The 15,506-nt window shown below is 46.3% G+C and overlaps 1 protein-coding gene across 12 annotated transcripts in view, besides 3 other annotated features; it reads right to left on the bottom strand.

Moving 5' to 3' along the window:
* Positions 642–1,237: an enhancer, noted in NCBI's record as "H3K27ac-H3K4me1 hESC enhancer chr21:35274085-35274680 (GRCh37/hg19 assembly coordinates)". NCBI's record gives its function as "activates a minimal SCP1, AML or CMV promoter by ChIP-STARR-seq in primed H9 embryonic stem cells {active_cell/tissue: H9 hESC(primed)}" and the evidence as "EXISTENCE:reporter gene assay evidence [ECO:0000049][PMID:30033119]".
* Positions 3,157–15,506, bottom strand: part of ITSN1 (intersectin 1) — a 257,361-nt gene continuing 245,011 nt past the window's right edge. For all 12 annotated transcript variants that reach the window (XM_017028428.2, NM_003024.3, XM_017028431.3 and 9 more), the window contains one exon: positions 3,157–14,866. In XM_017028428.2, coding sequence (XP_016883917.1) covers positions 14,718–14,866 — 149 coding nt within the window. In that variant the 3' untranslated portion in view covers positions 3,157–14,717. The remainder of the gene's footprint in view (positions 14,867–15,506) is intronic.
* Positions 6,963–7,548: an enhancer, noted in NCBI's record as "H3K4me1 hESC enhancer chr21:35267774-35268359 (GRCh37/hg19 assembly coordinates)". NCBI's record gives its function as "activates a minimal SCP1, AML or CMV promoter by ChIP-STARR-seq in primed H9 embryonic stem cells {active_cell/tissue: H9 hESC(primed)}" and the evidence as "EXISTENCE:reporter gene assay evidence [ECO:0000049][PMID:30033119]".
* Positions 7,549–8,135: an enhancer, noted in NCBI's record as "H3K4me1 hESC enhancer chr21:35267187-35267773 (GRCh37/hg19 assembly coordinates)". NCBI's record gives its function as "activates a minimal SCP1, AML or CMV promoter by ChIP-STARR-seq in primed H9 embryonic stem cells {active_cell/tissue: H9 hESC(primed)}" and the evidence as "EXISTENCE:reporter gene assay evidence [ECO:0000049][PMID:30033119]".

The following is a 15,506-nucleotide window of genomic DNA, read 5'->3' as shown; positions in this document are numbered from 1 at the left end:
GATTGAGGGGCCCTAGAGATGTGCTCAGAGTCACCTGTCTGGACAGCTGGTGTCAGGCCCTACAGCCCATGTTTTTACCACTGTATAACTAACACCATGCGCCGACACGTTGCTGGAGCAAACGGGCAAAAGTTACCTTAGGTAGGTCCCCTGCCCCTTCCCGCTTTGTCCCTAAGATGCTCCCAATTCACCTTTTAACCAAAACCAGTTCCCAGGTCAGCTCTTCCACTACATTTTACCTTTTGGTCTTCTAGAGAAAATAGTTACAGAGTTCCCCACGCAACAGCCCGCTCAGGTGCCTGTTCCTTAGTCAACCTCCAAGAACTTTTGGCCAACAAACCAGTTCCCTTCCCAGAACCACCCCTGGTTGGGCAGAGGCAGGACCATTGCAGCAAAGAAGTCCTACAGAGCAATGACATGGCCCAGCGCTGCTCCCTATGTGCTAGTGCTGGGACTGGCGTGCCCTCCATGTGGCACAACACTCCTGACACTCATGCTTGGCTTCAACTCCAGCTTCCTCCTGGCAAAGCTTTTAATACATGATCACCTAATGTGACAACCAACGGAGACACCACGTGGCCCCTCAGCCTTTCCAGGAACCAGGAGTGCTGAGGCCCCTCAACCTTTCCAGGAACCAGGAGTGCTGAGGCCCCTCAACCTTTCCAGGAACCAGGAGTGCTGAGGCTGCTGGCTGGCCCGAAGACCATTCAGCCACCTTTTAGGTGGGCCTAGGGCTACTCAGCTAGAGACCACATTCTTGAGCCTCTGGCAGCACCTGACCTTGGTGCTGAGTTCTGGCAAATGGGAAAGGAGAGGAAGCGAGGTGTGCCTTCCTGGACTGCCCTCTTGAGCAATCCTTAGTCCATCCCTCTAGCTAGATGCAGACAAGATGGCAAGCGATGCCAAGGGCAGAGCCACCCTGCCAAGCCTTACTGCTGCCCCTGGGCTGTTAAACACGATGAAGAAATAGACCTCTCTTCAAAGCCACGGGATATTGAGTTCTGTCTCCGCAGCTGAGTCTGCAACCTAACCATGACCACATTCCAGGTTCCCCCAGACTCACTGCCTGCCTCCTGCCTGCAGTGAGGCCTGCTCTGCAGAAGGTGGCGTCATACACACAATCACAGCTCCTACAGACATGTGACTGCCAATGGACAAACCGTCTTTGCGGGAGCCTCATGCTGCTGATGCTGCCCAGATCCTTCAGAGTCAAACTCAGCAAGCTTCCTGTTGATCAAGCACATACAATCTTGGGGAATGATGAGGCCCTTCATATGTCGCCTTACGAGGTCACCAGAGAGAACCTAGAGATCTATGTACAATGATTTGTTTTGTTTTTTGAGACAGTCTCACGCCATCACTCAGGCTGGAGTGCAGTGGCACGACCATGGCTCACTGCAACCTCAACCTCCTGGGCTCAAACCATCCTCCCACCTCAGCTGAAACTACAGGCAGTGAAACTAGAGGCAGTGCGACCACACCCAGCTAGTTTTCATATTTATAGTAGAGACAGGATCTTGCCATGATGCTCAGGCTGGCTTTAAACTCCTGGGCTCAAGTGATCACTGGCCTCAGCCTCCCAAAGTGCTGGGATTATAGGCTTGAGCCACCACACCCAGCCTACAATGATTTTCTTCACAGTATTTTTTTAAAATCAAGGTGAAAGTTTTACAGTCCCTTGTATATGGGATATTTTCGATGCATATTAGCTATTAAATAGTACAAGAGGCCGAGCGCAGCCAGGGTGACAAGAGCAAGACTCCGTCTCATAAATAAATAAATAGTACAAGAGTATTTAAAATGCACACACACACAAAAAATACAGAAATGAAGTGCATCAAAACCTTTATTTTTGTGTAGAAGAACATCTCCATTAAGTGATTTTATTTCCTTTGTGTTTTTCTTTCCTTGCTGAATTTTCTGCATTAACAAGTATTACTTCTGTAACAAGAAGAAAAACTAAATATTTGAGAATAAAAAGTATTGCCTTGATTATGCTGGCTACTAACCGTGGTTAAATAGGTAATAATTACATGTTTTGTACTAGTGATTCCATCCACTCTCTGGTCTGTGTGAGGGGGCCCTCATCAGACTTGGAGAGAACTAGGTATAGTTGGGAAAGTTAATTATTGCATTTGTTTTTAATGGCATTTAACTTTTTATTTTTAAGACAGGGTCTCACTCTGTCACCCAGACTGGAGTGCAGTGGCACAATCATGGCTCACTGCAGCCTTGGCCTCCTGGACTCAAGAGATCCTCCTGCCTCAGCCTCCCAAATACCCGGGACCATGAGCATGTGCCACCATGCCTGGCTGATTTATTTTTTGTAAAGACAAGGTCTCACTATGTTGCTCAGGCTGGTCTTGAACTTCTGGATGCAAGCAATCCTCCTGCCTCAGCCTCCCAAAGCACTGGGATTACAGGTGTGAGCCACCACATCCAGCCTTAACTTATTTTTAAAACTTCAAATAACAACCAAGAAAAGGGCATACGATTTTATGTTCTTCAAAAATGGGGCATACTAGTTTTAAAAAGGCAAAGACATACTGCTGTAGGGTCAACTTTTTAAAAATGTGCTATGTCACAATTCAACTAGTGTCCAAGCCAGCTAGAGAATTTAAAGGACTTATTTATAGTCAGTTAAATCAGTGATGAAATAGGTAGGAATGGCCTTAAAACCAGAACAGGAGGAAACAACCTAATACAATTCAGCGTTGGGTTTTATGGAACGCAGAATTATAGATCACCCAAGTGCTGAACACGTGGAGTTACGTGTGTTAGAAACTTCTTCCTGGAAATTCAGCGACCCTTCTGAATGTCTTTATAAGAAAATCAGCTTTTTGCACCGCCCTCTCAACCCCACCCTCAGAATTTCTTATGCTGTACAACACAAAACTTCTCCTGTTCTCACAAAGACTTCGTACACAGAAATCTATTTCTGCTTGGTGTTAGCTAACATTTATCTGAAGCCGCAGGACAGCTGAAAGGGTTGTTGGTTGGTTTTGTTTTCTAGGTTTATTTCTGCACAATTTTCCTTGCACAGCTACAATCTTATCTGTGGGAAGAGGAAGAGACACCATTTGCAGGGCTGTTAGCTTCCTGTGCTCTCAGAAAAGAGTGAAGCAGAAAGAACCCAAAATAATCCACTATAACAGATTGGCTTTTCTCCTTTTATTCATGAACTATTTGAATTTAAACCACACAGGTCAAAATGACCAAAGAGTTGTTTTTTGTTTTTGTTTTTGTTTTTGAAGAGATTGTTCTTTTTAGGTTCAAGATACACAGGAAGAGCAATTTGTACTGATGTTGCTACTGGTTTAAAGAAAGGTCTCAGTTACCATCATCTTAATCGGTAAAATTTAACATTTCACACATAATAAGTTGCCAAAGGAACACTCAAACAGCAAAAACAAACCTCAGCTTCTTTCAAACAAAAAAGAAGAAACAATGTTTTGGCCCTGCTTCATCAAACCTTTAGACAAATACGTAAGTCTACAATTTATAATAGTGTCTAGTAATTCTTAGAATTCCATTAACATTACATATCAGACAATATAGTCTCTCTTTTATGGAAAATTAAACAGTACCATTATTTGGCAACAGAAGTATATTACAATCAACAGCACATCCATCAAGGGGCGGGCCTGGTCCTACCCCTGGGCAGGGCTGTGAGGGAAGCAACATGCCACCAGCACTGTGGCCCGCTTGTCACTGGAAGCACAAGGAGCTCACGTTCTGATGGATTACATTCTTTTCCAAACAGGCAAAGGCTATCTGGGAGGGTTCGCTAGCACTCCTGGGAAGGGAGGGCCCCATGTTCTAGCTTTTCTTGTCCCCAGACTTTTTTGAAACAACCAAGGCCCAAGGGACAGTTGACTGGCTGACTTGTTTCCACTCACAGCCCTCTTGCCACCCCAGCCAGAGGGCATCGTTCTAAGGAAGGAGAGTCAGGGCCTGTTTGGGGTTGGTAGACCAGAGCTCATCTCCTCTGCTGGCAGGCCTTAGGTGGCCTTCCAAGGCTGCGCCTGAACAAAGAAATCTCTGAACAGCTCCATCTTTGGGAATAAAGCCAGTTATGGACCACATGGACAGTGCCTCTAAGTGATTTGCAGATTATTCATGCACCTAAATAGATTCCAGGAAGCTTCCAGAAATCACAGCTTCCCATACTCCTGAAGTCAGCAGCTTTACTGGTTCGGGCCTCTCAAAAAAGGGGCTCCAGTTGCTGGTTGACAGCATTAAGATGCACGCAGCCTGTTCAAAGAAATGTTGAAAACCTAACACATTCTTCAGATGTCTTTTCAGACCACAGGCCCTCAACCTTCCACCAGCGGTGTCACCCCCAAACACAATGCATTCAGATCACCAGAAACCAGCTCTTTTTGTTACTGCAGTATTTCCAGGCTGCCAGGGGAGGCTGGACTCCTGGGGTTGCCCCCTCCTGAAATCATTTCTGAATGCCTTTCTCAGGGGTTTAGACATTGAGTTTCACAGAATCCTCCTTAGGTGGCCTAAGGGGCACTTCTGGTGGCCAAGTACAGAAAGTCTGTGCCCCAGAAGCAGCCTGGACTTCTGATCCTTTTCTGGGAATGCAGACGGGAGGAAGGCATCTTCCCCCTGGGGTCTCCATGGAAACATGGGCATCCAGAAGCCTGCCCCAAAACGGCTTAACTCAGAAACCCTAAACCATCCATCCACCCACCTGGCTATGCAACAGTTGAAGACAGTGAGGATGCATCAGGAAATTTCATGGAAAACGCAAACGCTAATTAGGGATAAACTGAATCAATCCAGATACAGAAGTAGAAAGGGCGACCTGGAAGTCAGAGAGTGGCCTCTCTAGTGGGATAGCTGCGTCAGCCCCAGATCCCTAACAAATCCACTAGAACCCAAGGAAGCCTGCGTGGCACATGGATCTGATGAAAAACAGGCTCCCTATCCTCTCATCCTTCCTGACACAAGTACCCTCTCAGATATGTGATCTGCAAAAATCCATTTTTAATGCAACACCAAGGTCCCATGCGAGGTCATAGCTACAGGATACTTTTCATTTGATCACGCCACCATCCATTACACTGAAATTTATCATATTTCCTGCAGGAAAAAAAATGACTCATTTGATTTCTAACATATACAACTTGGAATTTTTTTTTAATATAAGAAATTTAGTTGAGTTGAACCCAAGTAATCTCATTAAGCATTTTCTACTCTTGGAATAGGTTTTAAATTTTTTTCTATAGTTTTATGCACTTAAATTAGATTCCTAAAATACTCTCATATACATACAGAAAAATAATCTCTCAATGACAAATCACATTTTACAATAACAAGTTAAATATTTTTGACTACAGAATCTGTGTTAGTTTATGCAACATTTAACAGCATGGCCTCTTACATACCATATATACATTTAGTCATGGCCATTCCATAAACATACAGCAGAGATTTCATGAGGAACATGAAATGAATACAACCTTTTCCCTTTATATAGTGGGAGTTCGCCTTTTTCTTAGCTGGAAACAGCACAGAATGTAGAAAACCGGAAACTGAGCTGATTATCATCCACAGGACATTTTTGTTGCAGTTTCTCATCTGTACACATGTATTTACACATAAGTTCACCACCTATACGTGTGAGGGTACAAAGCTGATGGAGCTAAGGCAATACAACACGGGGTGGGCAGGGGCCAACTCCCCTATCTATGCAGGGCCACCAAGGGATAAGAAGGGTCATGGAGGGCACAGACTCCGGCTTGCGGGGCTACAGCAGATGAGATCTGAGGTTGATTTCACAGTTCAAAGATACTTGGGCTATTGGCCATGTAGGCTTTAAATGCATGTCTAAAATTAAGTAGCATTAACATAGATCTTGCTAAAATATCTACTTTCTGTCACAGTGAATGTTTAGCAGATGACATTTTAAGGATATTGATTTATAGAATGTACCTCAAATGTTCATTCATTAAAACTAATGCTGACACGCTATTAATGAAATGCCCCTGGAGAACACTTGCAGAACTTCCCGTAGTCCGGAAGATTGCATGACGCATGAAAACAAAGCCATAATTTGTTATGTCATTCAAGGTGACTCAATCAAATCCAGGTGAGATGAGTTTGCAATTTCTGTCAACATTTTTACTTAGCAAATATAATCCCAGACAGAATCAGGAAACATAGTGAGGATTATTGCTCAATGTATATGGAGATGGGGACCTACTTGCAAAAAGCAAATGGAACTGCAAACATTTTGGAGCGTCCAGCCCAGGAAAAGTAAAAGCTCGTGAAAGAAAGCAACAACAGGAAGCCCAGCTTCATGGTCAGCTGCCTCCCGGGGCCATGGTCTTCTAGAACTTGAGGCTACTTACACAGAGGGATCTTTTCTCTCCTACCATCCCCATACATGGGATCCTAAGGGGAGAGTCTAGCTGGGAGGTCGCAGCCTCTCCGAAGCAGGTTCCTCCCAGACACCCGCAGACCAGATCGTGTGGCCCAGCTGGGCAGGGAGGCACTGGCTCCGCAGACTCCCCTTCTCTCCAGGGGGTGAAGGCTGGAGGAGCAAGTGTCCAGCCACTGGGGAAGGGACACTGAGCACTTCTATGACCCTGCTTCTCTTTGAAGGCAGAAGGTTGGAAAAGGCTTGCTGTCCTCCCAGGAAAGGGGAGAAAAGCTCCCAGTGGATGCCCAAGGCCCAGAGGAAGGGTTTTATTTCCAAGCAGTGAGCTCAATGGTAAAGGCTCACAGCTGCTTGACGCCCTGTGGCCCATCCTGAACTGGGAGCCCAGAGCTCCTGCCACCACCGGCAACCCCCTCTCCAGCCTTGGGGTACAGCTGTGAACTAGGGGCTCGGTTCCACACCCACTAGCTAGTCCAGGCCATTTGTGCTTTTAGGAAATAAATGCAGACGTTTAGAAAAGTGTATCCGCGCAGCTTGCCACAGCCTGCCGGGAGACCTTTCAAAGTAAGAAGACCTAAGACAGAGCCCATCAGCTTCGGGAACCAGCAGAGAACAGTGTGGTCAGGGCCGGCCTCCTGGGTGTGCTGCCTGGCAGCCACAAGGGGCTATGCACTCAGAAGGGACCTGAGCTTGGCTTAATGCTCTCCTCTCACTGTCTAGAAATGCTTCATCACCTGAACAAGGGGCCTCGCATTTTCATTTTGCACTCTGTCCGCAAACCACGCGACTAGTCCTGACCAGGATGACAGGACTGTGGAGCAACGTATTTCCTGTTTCCCTCTCCAAGGCACAGAGCCATGCATCCCCCTAGGTGTGGGTAGGTACACACGCATGCGCACACATGCACGCACACGCACGCGCACACACATACACATATGCACGCACACACAAACATGCACATGCATACACGCACATACACACGCACACACACGCACACACACAAATACGCACACACGCACAAACACATGCACTCACAAACATGCACACACGCACACATACACGCACACACATGCGTGCACACACACGTAGACACACACACATGCACACACAAACACGCGCACGCACACACATGCATGCACGCAAACCCATGCACACACACGCACACGTGCACGCACAAACACATACATGCACACGCACGCACAAACACGCATGCACACACCACGCACTGAGCTGCTGCGTCCCACCAACAAAAATTCCCTTCCACCTAAAATTCCAGAAGTCAAAGTCTACAAGTAGAGACTGTAATCCAATCCCAATAGAGCACACCGTAACTCCTAGAACGCTTGCTGGGGAGCAGGGCCTCCTCCAGGTCACCTGCCCTGCAGTCCACCCAGCCGACAGACACTAAAGCTGATGCAGAAAGGGTGGGAAGCCTGAGGACCTCCGTGCAGCCCCAGCCTCAGCGGCAGGGAAGAGCAAGGTCTCACTGGAGACCCCTGGCGCGCTAGGCTTGAACCCTAGGCTCGCCGCGAGCTTCCTTCCCACCCAGCCTTCGGTCTCTGCCAGGCCCACATTCCTAGCTCTGAGTCCGTTTTCCTGTCTTCCCCTACACCCCACATCACCAATAACTCCTTCTGCGATCTACACAAGAGCAATGCCTAGCAGCTGCGGTAGGTGGAGCCGGCACCTTGAAATCTGCCAGTGAAAACAGCGAGTTTCCTCCTCCTACAGGGAGACCCTCCACCCCCGCCGGTGACAGTGCACAGAATGGCAGCGGCTGCTGCTCACCCAACGCTGCAAAGCCACTACACCCTTTCTTTGGTTCCTGTCTGCCTGAGGCCCCCATTCTGTTTAGATACAGGAACGGCAGGAAATAAGAGATTTGAGTTAAAAAAGAGAAATGCAAAAGCGAAGAGAAGCAGAGTCGCACAGGAATGTTATTCTTTCAAAAGATAAAAGTATAAAACCAGAACTTCTGGAAGAAGAAAATACGCATTCTTACCACTGCCTAAAAAGAAACCTTAGTTTCTGGTTAATCCTCAGGAAATATCAGAGAAATGCTGATTTTTTTTTTTTCAAGGCTGACCAAAAAGTCCACTTCTGAACACAGCTTTATCTGGTGGGCTTTGAATACTAAAATATTCATACTAGGCAGATGATAGTAACAATATAGGCTGGTATAGAAAATCGAACAGAATCCTATTAAAACACAACTCACAAAACACCCCTGACATCCAATAAGGGGAAACTGACCCTGAAATTTGACAAGCACACATAGTGTCAGAAAAATTATGATGTGGGTGTAATATGGCTCCCCCAGGGCCAGGGTAAAGAGGGTTCCTTTGAATGGAGGAACTGATTGAGGCTGCATGGAACTAAAGAAGTTATTGGGAGGTGGATATGAACTCTTTTATAAGCGTTGGGTCTTATTTTAATGACTTAAAGTTAGTTTGCCATCAAAAGCAATGGCAAAAACCGCAATCACTTTTGCACCAACCTAATCCAATTAGGCTTGCTTGAATGCCACCAAGGCAGGCCCGTCCAGCTGCCGCCCAGCTTCTAGGAGGGTGGCCTGGACCAGGATGGGGACTCCCTAAATGAACAGTGCATTAACTACTAAGATGTTTCTGAGAGATCACAACCCAGAGATGGACTGTCTAGTGTGTCTTGGTGTCTGGGTTTTAATGCTCCCAAGACAGACAGCTGTTAGATGTCTTCTGTCTTTCATGTGGACTAAGTTTCCATGCCTATCAGGAATAGATTTTTTTTTTTCTGGCTCCTACAGATATAAGGTTATGTATCTTACTTGATCCTGATGAAATGCAGACATATCCTGGATCTGATACAGTGCAGGCTGAGGAAACAGGAATTCTAGAACTTTCCTTTCCTCTAGCTCAAATAAACTGTGTTCCAAGTACAAAGAAGCAGGATCCAGAGGAAGCTGTGGGGCGCCATTAAGTTGACCAGCCAATTACTTCCTCCGTGTCAGGTCTAACCAGAAGAGGTCTGCATTAGCTCTTTTTTTGTTTGTTTTGAGAAGGACTCTCGCTCTGTTACCCAGGCTGGAGTGCAGTGGCGTGATCTCGGCTCACTGCAACCTCCGCCTCCCAGGTTCGAGTGATTCTCCTGCCTCAGCCTCCTGAGTAGCTGGGATTACAGGTGCCTGCCACCACCCCTGGCTAATTTTTGTATTTTTAGTAGAGACAAGGTTTCGCCACGTTGGCCAGGCTGTTCTCGAACTCCTGACCTCAGGTGATCCACCTGCCTCAGCCCCTCAAAGTGTTGGGATTACAGGTGTGAGCCACCGCACCTGGCCGGTTTGCATTATTTCTCTGAAGAACCCCACACAAAGCAACATTAATTGATCGGAACCATTCAAAATAGAATAAAAATATCCAAGGGCTCGAGGGAAACATTCACTCTAGAAGGCGGGCCCTGGGCTACTGCACATGAAGTACAAGCCACTGCGACAAGGAGAGCAGGGACTGAGCCACGTCTTCATCAGAAACCGGGCTGGCAGGCACATGGCAGTGGCAGGGGATGCAAACGGGCCTAAGACTGCTTCTCCTGGAATGGGCTGACCTGTGGGTCCCCCAGGAGGAAGCTGCAGGGAATGCATCCCTTGGCCCCCAGGATAGCTCTCATCAGGCTCCTCTAAAGCCTGTAAGGTCACTGGGCAGAAGAGCTAGAGGGAGCTGCCCCGTGAATGGCAGCTGTGGTTTCTTTGCACCCTCAGTCTTTCTGCTGCTTTACGATATCACCTCATGAGTGCAGCCTGACGGACAAGGAAAGCCCACCTTCCTCTAGAAGGGGCCCAGGCAGGTAGGCAATTACACTGTAGCTGGGGAAAAAAAGAAAGAAAGAAAATGCCCCCCATTTGATCAAGCATTGAACGTCCCTAAAATGAACTGAGTGTCTACGTGCAGGAGGCTGCTAGATCAATGTCATGGGAATTCCTGAGCCCCCCTCACTAGTGCAGGTTAGGGCTGTTCTAGAGAAGTACCTGCCACTCATACTTAATACAAGCCTGTTTCTGTCCCTGAGATCCGCCCCAGAACCTAGGCTGGCCTAGCAATCCTCATCTGAGCTCAGCCTTCCCAGAAATGGATTCATCTTCTGGGTCATTTGAACAAATGAACTGAAAACATAGAGAAACACAAGCATTTGGTCTCACTGGTCCACTCCAGGGAAAAGGAGGAGAATGAACATTCTAATGATATACTAAGCAGCCCCTGGGCCATTCATGGAAGTAAGGGGAAGTCTCTAGCAGGAATTTCAGCACCCCACGGTGCAAAAAGAAGGAGGTGTTAGTTTTCCCTAATGCCTCTTATGGTGGCTCAGACTATACTGTCTGAGGGCTTCATCATGCTACCGGTTTCTGGGGCTACTGGTTATGCTTCTGCCTGGTGTGAGCTAAAGCTCTTTTATCTAAAAGCAAAACAAAGCAATCCAGGTGCCTTTGTTTTCATCTCACTTTCTGGCATAGGATGCTCTAAACTTGTAAACAAGCATATCTGGACCAAGCAGACCTGCTGCTAATTGCACACTCACCTCGAGCCCAAAATGACCCTGTTACATCCAAAGCACACCAGGTATTCATGTAAAAGTGCTAGTGTCTGCTATAAAGCACATCGCTAACCTTGAAAAGGAAGGGAGAACTTAGAAATCAAATCAAATCAAATCATACTTTGTTTCCAATGGAAATTCTTAAAGTTGTTACACGTACAAAACACATTTTCTTCTTATCAATCAAAAAGGCCCAATCAACTAGAAAAAAACGACTTGGAGTGGAGATAGAGAAGTCTTTTTCTGCTTATACAAGGTACTGGCCTACTCTAAAATATACTCCAAGAGCTTCACCTTTTCAATAAAGCCAGAAGTGCCTTGTCCATTTCTCCCTTCATCTTCAGCCCCATCAGATTCTAGAACATCCTGGTTCTGTGTGGTCAGTGGCTTTACACTTGTCCTAGCCAGTTCCTGGAGAGACAGCCGGCCTGCTTAGCCTTGGAAGGCAGACCTGCAAGTGTCCTTCCCTGCTGGCGCTAGCACCTAATCCCCCTGCCACCCCAGAATACTCCCCTGGAGGACACCTGGGCTTTGGTACCAGGTCACCGAGATAAGACTTAATGTGGGTGGTCAATTTACTCATAGTCTGATGGGATTTTTTCCCCAGTTAAATTCAGGGCTACTCTACCCAAAGAAATCAGTTAGTTTCATACACTTAGGTCATACTTTAGGTTGTTTAAAAAAAGCAAAGAAGAAAAAAATGCCTCCTCTTACATGAATGTTCTTTGGGAGCAGAGCTCTTTCCTCTGCTATCAGAGGACAGGGACATATTATCCAAACAAACAAGGAAGTCTGGCTCTAGTTTCTCAAGCATCCCTGGTGACCTGCACCTAGAAAGTCCCTCTTTCCAGATTAGTCCAGGCCTGGATCCGAATGAGCCACATCTTCAGGCTCTCATGGTCACAGCAAACCTGGTTCCAGGAGATGATGCTGTCCATCCACCTGCCAGGGTGATGCCAGCAGCCAGACAGGCCCTGCCCCAGAGGGACCAGGATGTGGACTCTGCCTTCTAGAGAACTGCTCTGTGAAGAAGGCTCAGCCCAAGAGGTCCCAGGATAGTTCAGTTCTCAGGGAAGACTGAGGGTTACAGCATAACCCTATGACCAGCACAGCCCCTTCTTGGGCTAAAGGAGATCAGAGTGTGCAGGAGAAGCTAGCAGTGTGGCTCAGAGCAGAGGAACGCTTGCAGGGGTGTCTAAAAGGCTGGGATCAGGATGCCGGGATGCAGTGGCCTAGAGAACTCCTATATTTAGAAAACAAAGAGCTAGGAGACAGACTCCTTGTTGGCAAGGAGCATTTAATTTCTATGAAATATAGCCCAGGTGGTCAAGAAGGTAGAGGTGAAGGAACAGAGAGGCCCAATGGTTTGAGACTCCATGCATCACCCATGTTTCTCAATCCCTGTGACACAACTCATGAATCACAGCTGGGTCCGAGGGCCAGCCCGACTCCTCCATACGGACAATTGGTTACATTACAAATTACACCAGTAAATACAAGGACACTAATCCAGAACTTGCTACATGGCAGGAGCATCTCAAGGATGCTCAACAGAGTCACTTGAGGAAAAAGAGTCACATATTGCTTTCTCATGCTACATTAATTCCAATAATAGGACACTATGAGTGGGTGACCTGGGACCTAAAACGATTGTTTGTCATTGTGCATACCATACGCTACCTACATGAACAATGATGTCCAACATTAACACGCAAATAAAGTCAATGAAGAAAAGACAGGACAGAAAACAAAAAGAGATCGGAATGGTGACCCACACTACCCCATTTACACATTGAATACTTTTCTTTCTACCATGGTAGCATATCTTTCATAAATACACTAAACAAACGGTGTTGGTTATAGAAATAGGAAAGCATGAGTTGCATGTCTATTTATAGATTTAATTTAAAAGTTTCTTAACAACATCAAAAAATATAAACTTAAAGTATTTTAACCATGTTTTCTGCTGGGAAATGGTAAACAAATGCATGCCTGAAGTTAAACTTGGTCTCTAACATGTTCAGTTGAAAGTTTCTAACTACAGGGTATATTTGCTTGTTTCAAAAAATACTTATGTCTGTTGTTCTTGATACAAAATTCTACACTATCTTCAATAAATAAATAATAAAGTATTTCTTAAAAGTATGAAATGTAAACTTTGTTGTCCTTTCCAACACACACTTTTAAAAAAATTGCTTGAAGTATGACCGGGCTCTCATGGGAAATGATAACACTACACATTCAGTTCCCAGCAAAGGAGGTACTCTGCCACAACGCTGATGCTATCATTTAGAAAGCACTTTGATAACCCTAATTAAAGTCTAAGGACCTACAATCAAAGAGAACACCATCTAGTACAGGAAAGCTAGACTCCAGTACCAACAGAACATGCAAAGGACATTTCATGACCACAACAAACTAGGATTATGAGAATATTAACATGCAAACAAAACACGGCCCCCACTTTTCATTAGCAAATCAAGTTACTATCTAACTAACCAGATGATCTCCTGGCATTTAAGGGAAAAAAAAATTAAAGAACTCAAACCAAACAGCTTGGCACATAGTCATAAAGTCCTGACTCTTGCAACAAGCATATTATGTGAGGTTGGGGTGGTGGAGGGTGGAAAAGTGTCTTAGGTCTTTGCCCCGGGATGTGCGGGGCTTGCATCCTCCTAGGGTCTTTCACCCACCACATAATGGACTGCCTTCATTTTCTTTCCCAACCTCCAGCTTGATATTTTTCCTTTTCACGCCTTGGGGATCTAGGACATGGCTTTTTGGGGAACGTACCAAAAAGAGCTGTTGAAATGTCCTACAACAATCAGGATTCAGCACATTCAAGCACAGAACAGGTCACCAGCAACGACTGCTGCTATGAAATATCACAGGCCTCCGAGCCAAAAGAGATTTTTCCAACATGGCTGCCAACCGAGACCCAGTGACCCAACATTGTAAAGTTGCCTTTCCAGTGACCTGTAGTGATCTGATCCAGCAGAGGGGTGACTTTCTAGATAATGACTTTCTGTGACCATATTCTAAGCATGCTGGGAATCAGAACTGAATCCACGCAACAATACACCAGTGTGTTTTCATTGACATATATTAATACAAGGCCTAGAGGGGGAAGGAACGGCTATAACGGTGCACATGCTGGAAACTTCCATAGACCAGCTCTTCAAAGAGCTAAGCCAGGGCCTGATCAGACCGTCTCACCGAGTGATCAGCTCTAGGCAGCATTTCCCTGCAGGAGAGATGGGATTCTGAAGCAATGACAGGACCGTCATAATTGTTTCTAAACTCACACCAAGGACTGGGCATTGTAGGCCAAGAAGTCTACTTGGGGACTGGTGGATGTAAGAAACAGGAGGGTTACATGAGTTCTCCAAAAATATAGACATTGCATTTATAAATCTATTTTATAGTAACCAGACCCATCCCTCAAGCCCGGGAAGGGGCTAGACTCCCAGCTGCACCCTGTTGAGGGCTATGGGATTTCAGCGACCCTAGAAGCCATAATGAGACCTGTAGTGAGGACAAAGGAAAACACAGCTTTGTTTCATGAAACAGGAAATTGTTTCGGGGCAGGGAGGATTGTCGAGAATGATTCCTAGGAGCTTTGAGGGGCCTGTCTTTGCCATCCCATATCCCTGTGACTGAATACCAAATGGTGGTTTCTTAGAAAAGGAATACAATTTCCAGACAGCATGTGTGGCCGTGGGCTGGGACCCTGCTGAGCACACCCTGAGCCCGCTGCCTACGGCTCATCAAACAACTGCAGGTCCAAGCGGACCACAATCTCTCCCGTGGGGACTTCGTGCAGCAGAAGACACTTCGTAACTGGACCTTTGGAGCCCTGGTCTTTCTTGATGTCCGCCACACGGATCTCCGTCCGACCCAAAAAATCTGAAAAGAGAACAAACAGACCCTCCTAAGAGGGACCATTCCCTCTCTTCGAGGCACATGTCTGGCATATTGGGGACCCCCTGATGAACTGTTATGCTCTCCCTTCTTCTCTGGGCTCTGATGTAAACCAACACTAGGATTTCCAACTCGCTCCCCAGCGGAGTTGCCAATGTGTCATGGTATTTCATTACTTAAATAAAAAAAAAAACCCAACCCCAACCTTTATCTCTCAGAATTAGAAGGTGGCCGGGCACAGTGGCTCGCGTCTGTAATCCCAGCACTTTGGGAGGCCGAGGCAGGAGGATCACTTGAGTCCAGGAGTTTGACACCAGCCTGGGCAATAGAGTGAGACCCTGTCTCTACAAAAAATTTTTAAAAATTAGCCTAGCATGGTGGTTCATGCCTGTCATCCCTGCTACTTAGGAGGCTGAGGCAGGAGGATTGCTTGAGCCTGGGAGGTGGAGGCTGCAGTGAGCTGTGATTGCACCACTGTGCTCCAGCCTGAGTGACAGAGCGAGAACAACAAGAAAAAAGATAAATAAATAAAAAAAATAAAAAGAAAAAAGAATTAGAAGTTGACAGTACACATAGTAGTTAAGAGCCCAGACTTGGGAGCCAAACTGTTCCAGTCACACTCAAA

This window comes from Homo sapiens, chromosome 21 (assembly GCF_000001405.40).
Source record: "Homo sapiens chromosome 21, GRCh38.p14 Primary Assembly".
NCBI lineage: Eukaryota > Metazoa > Chordata > Mammalia > Primates > Hominidae > Homo > Homo sapiens.
This window is presented reverse-complemented; position numbering and strand designations above follow the sequence as displayed.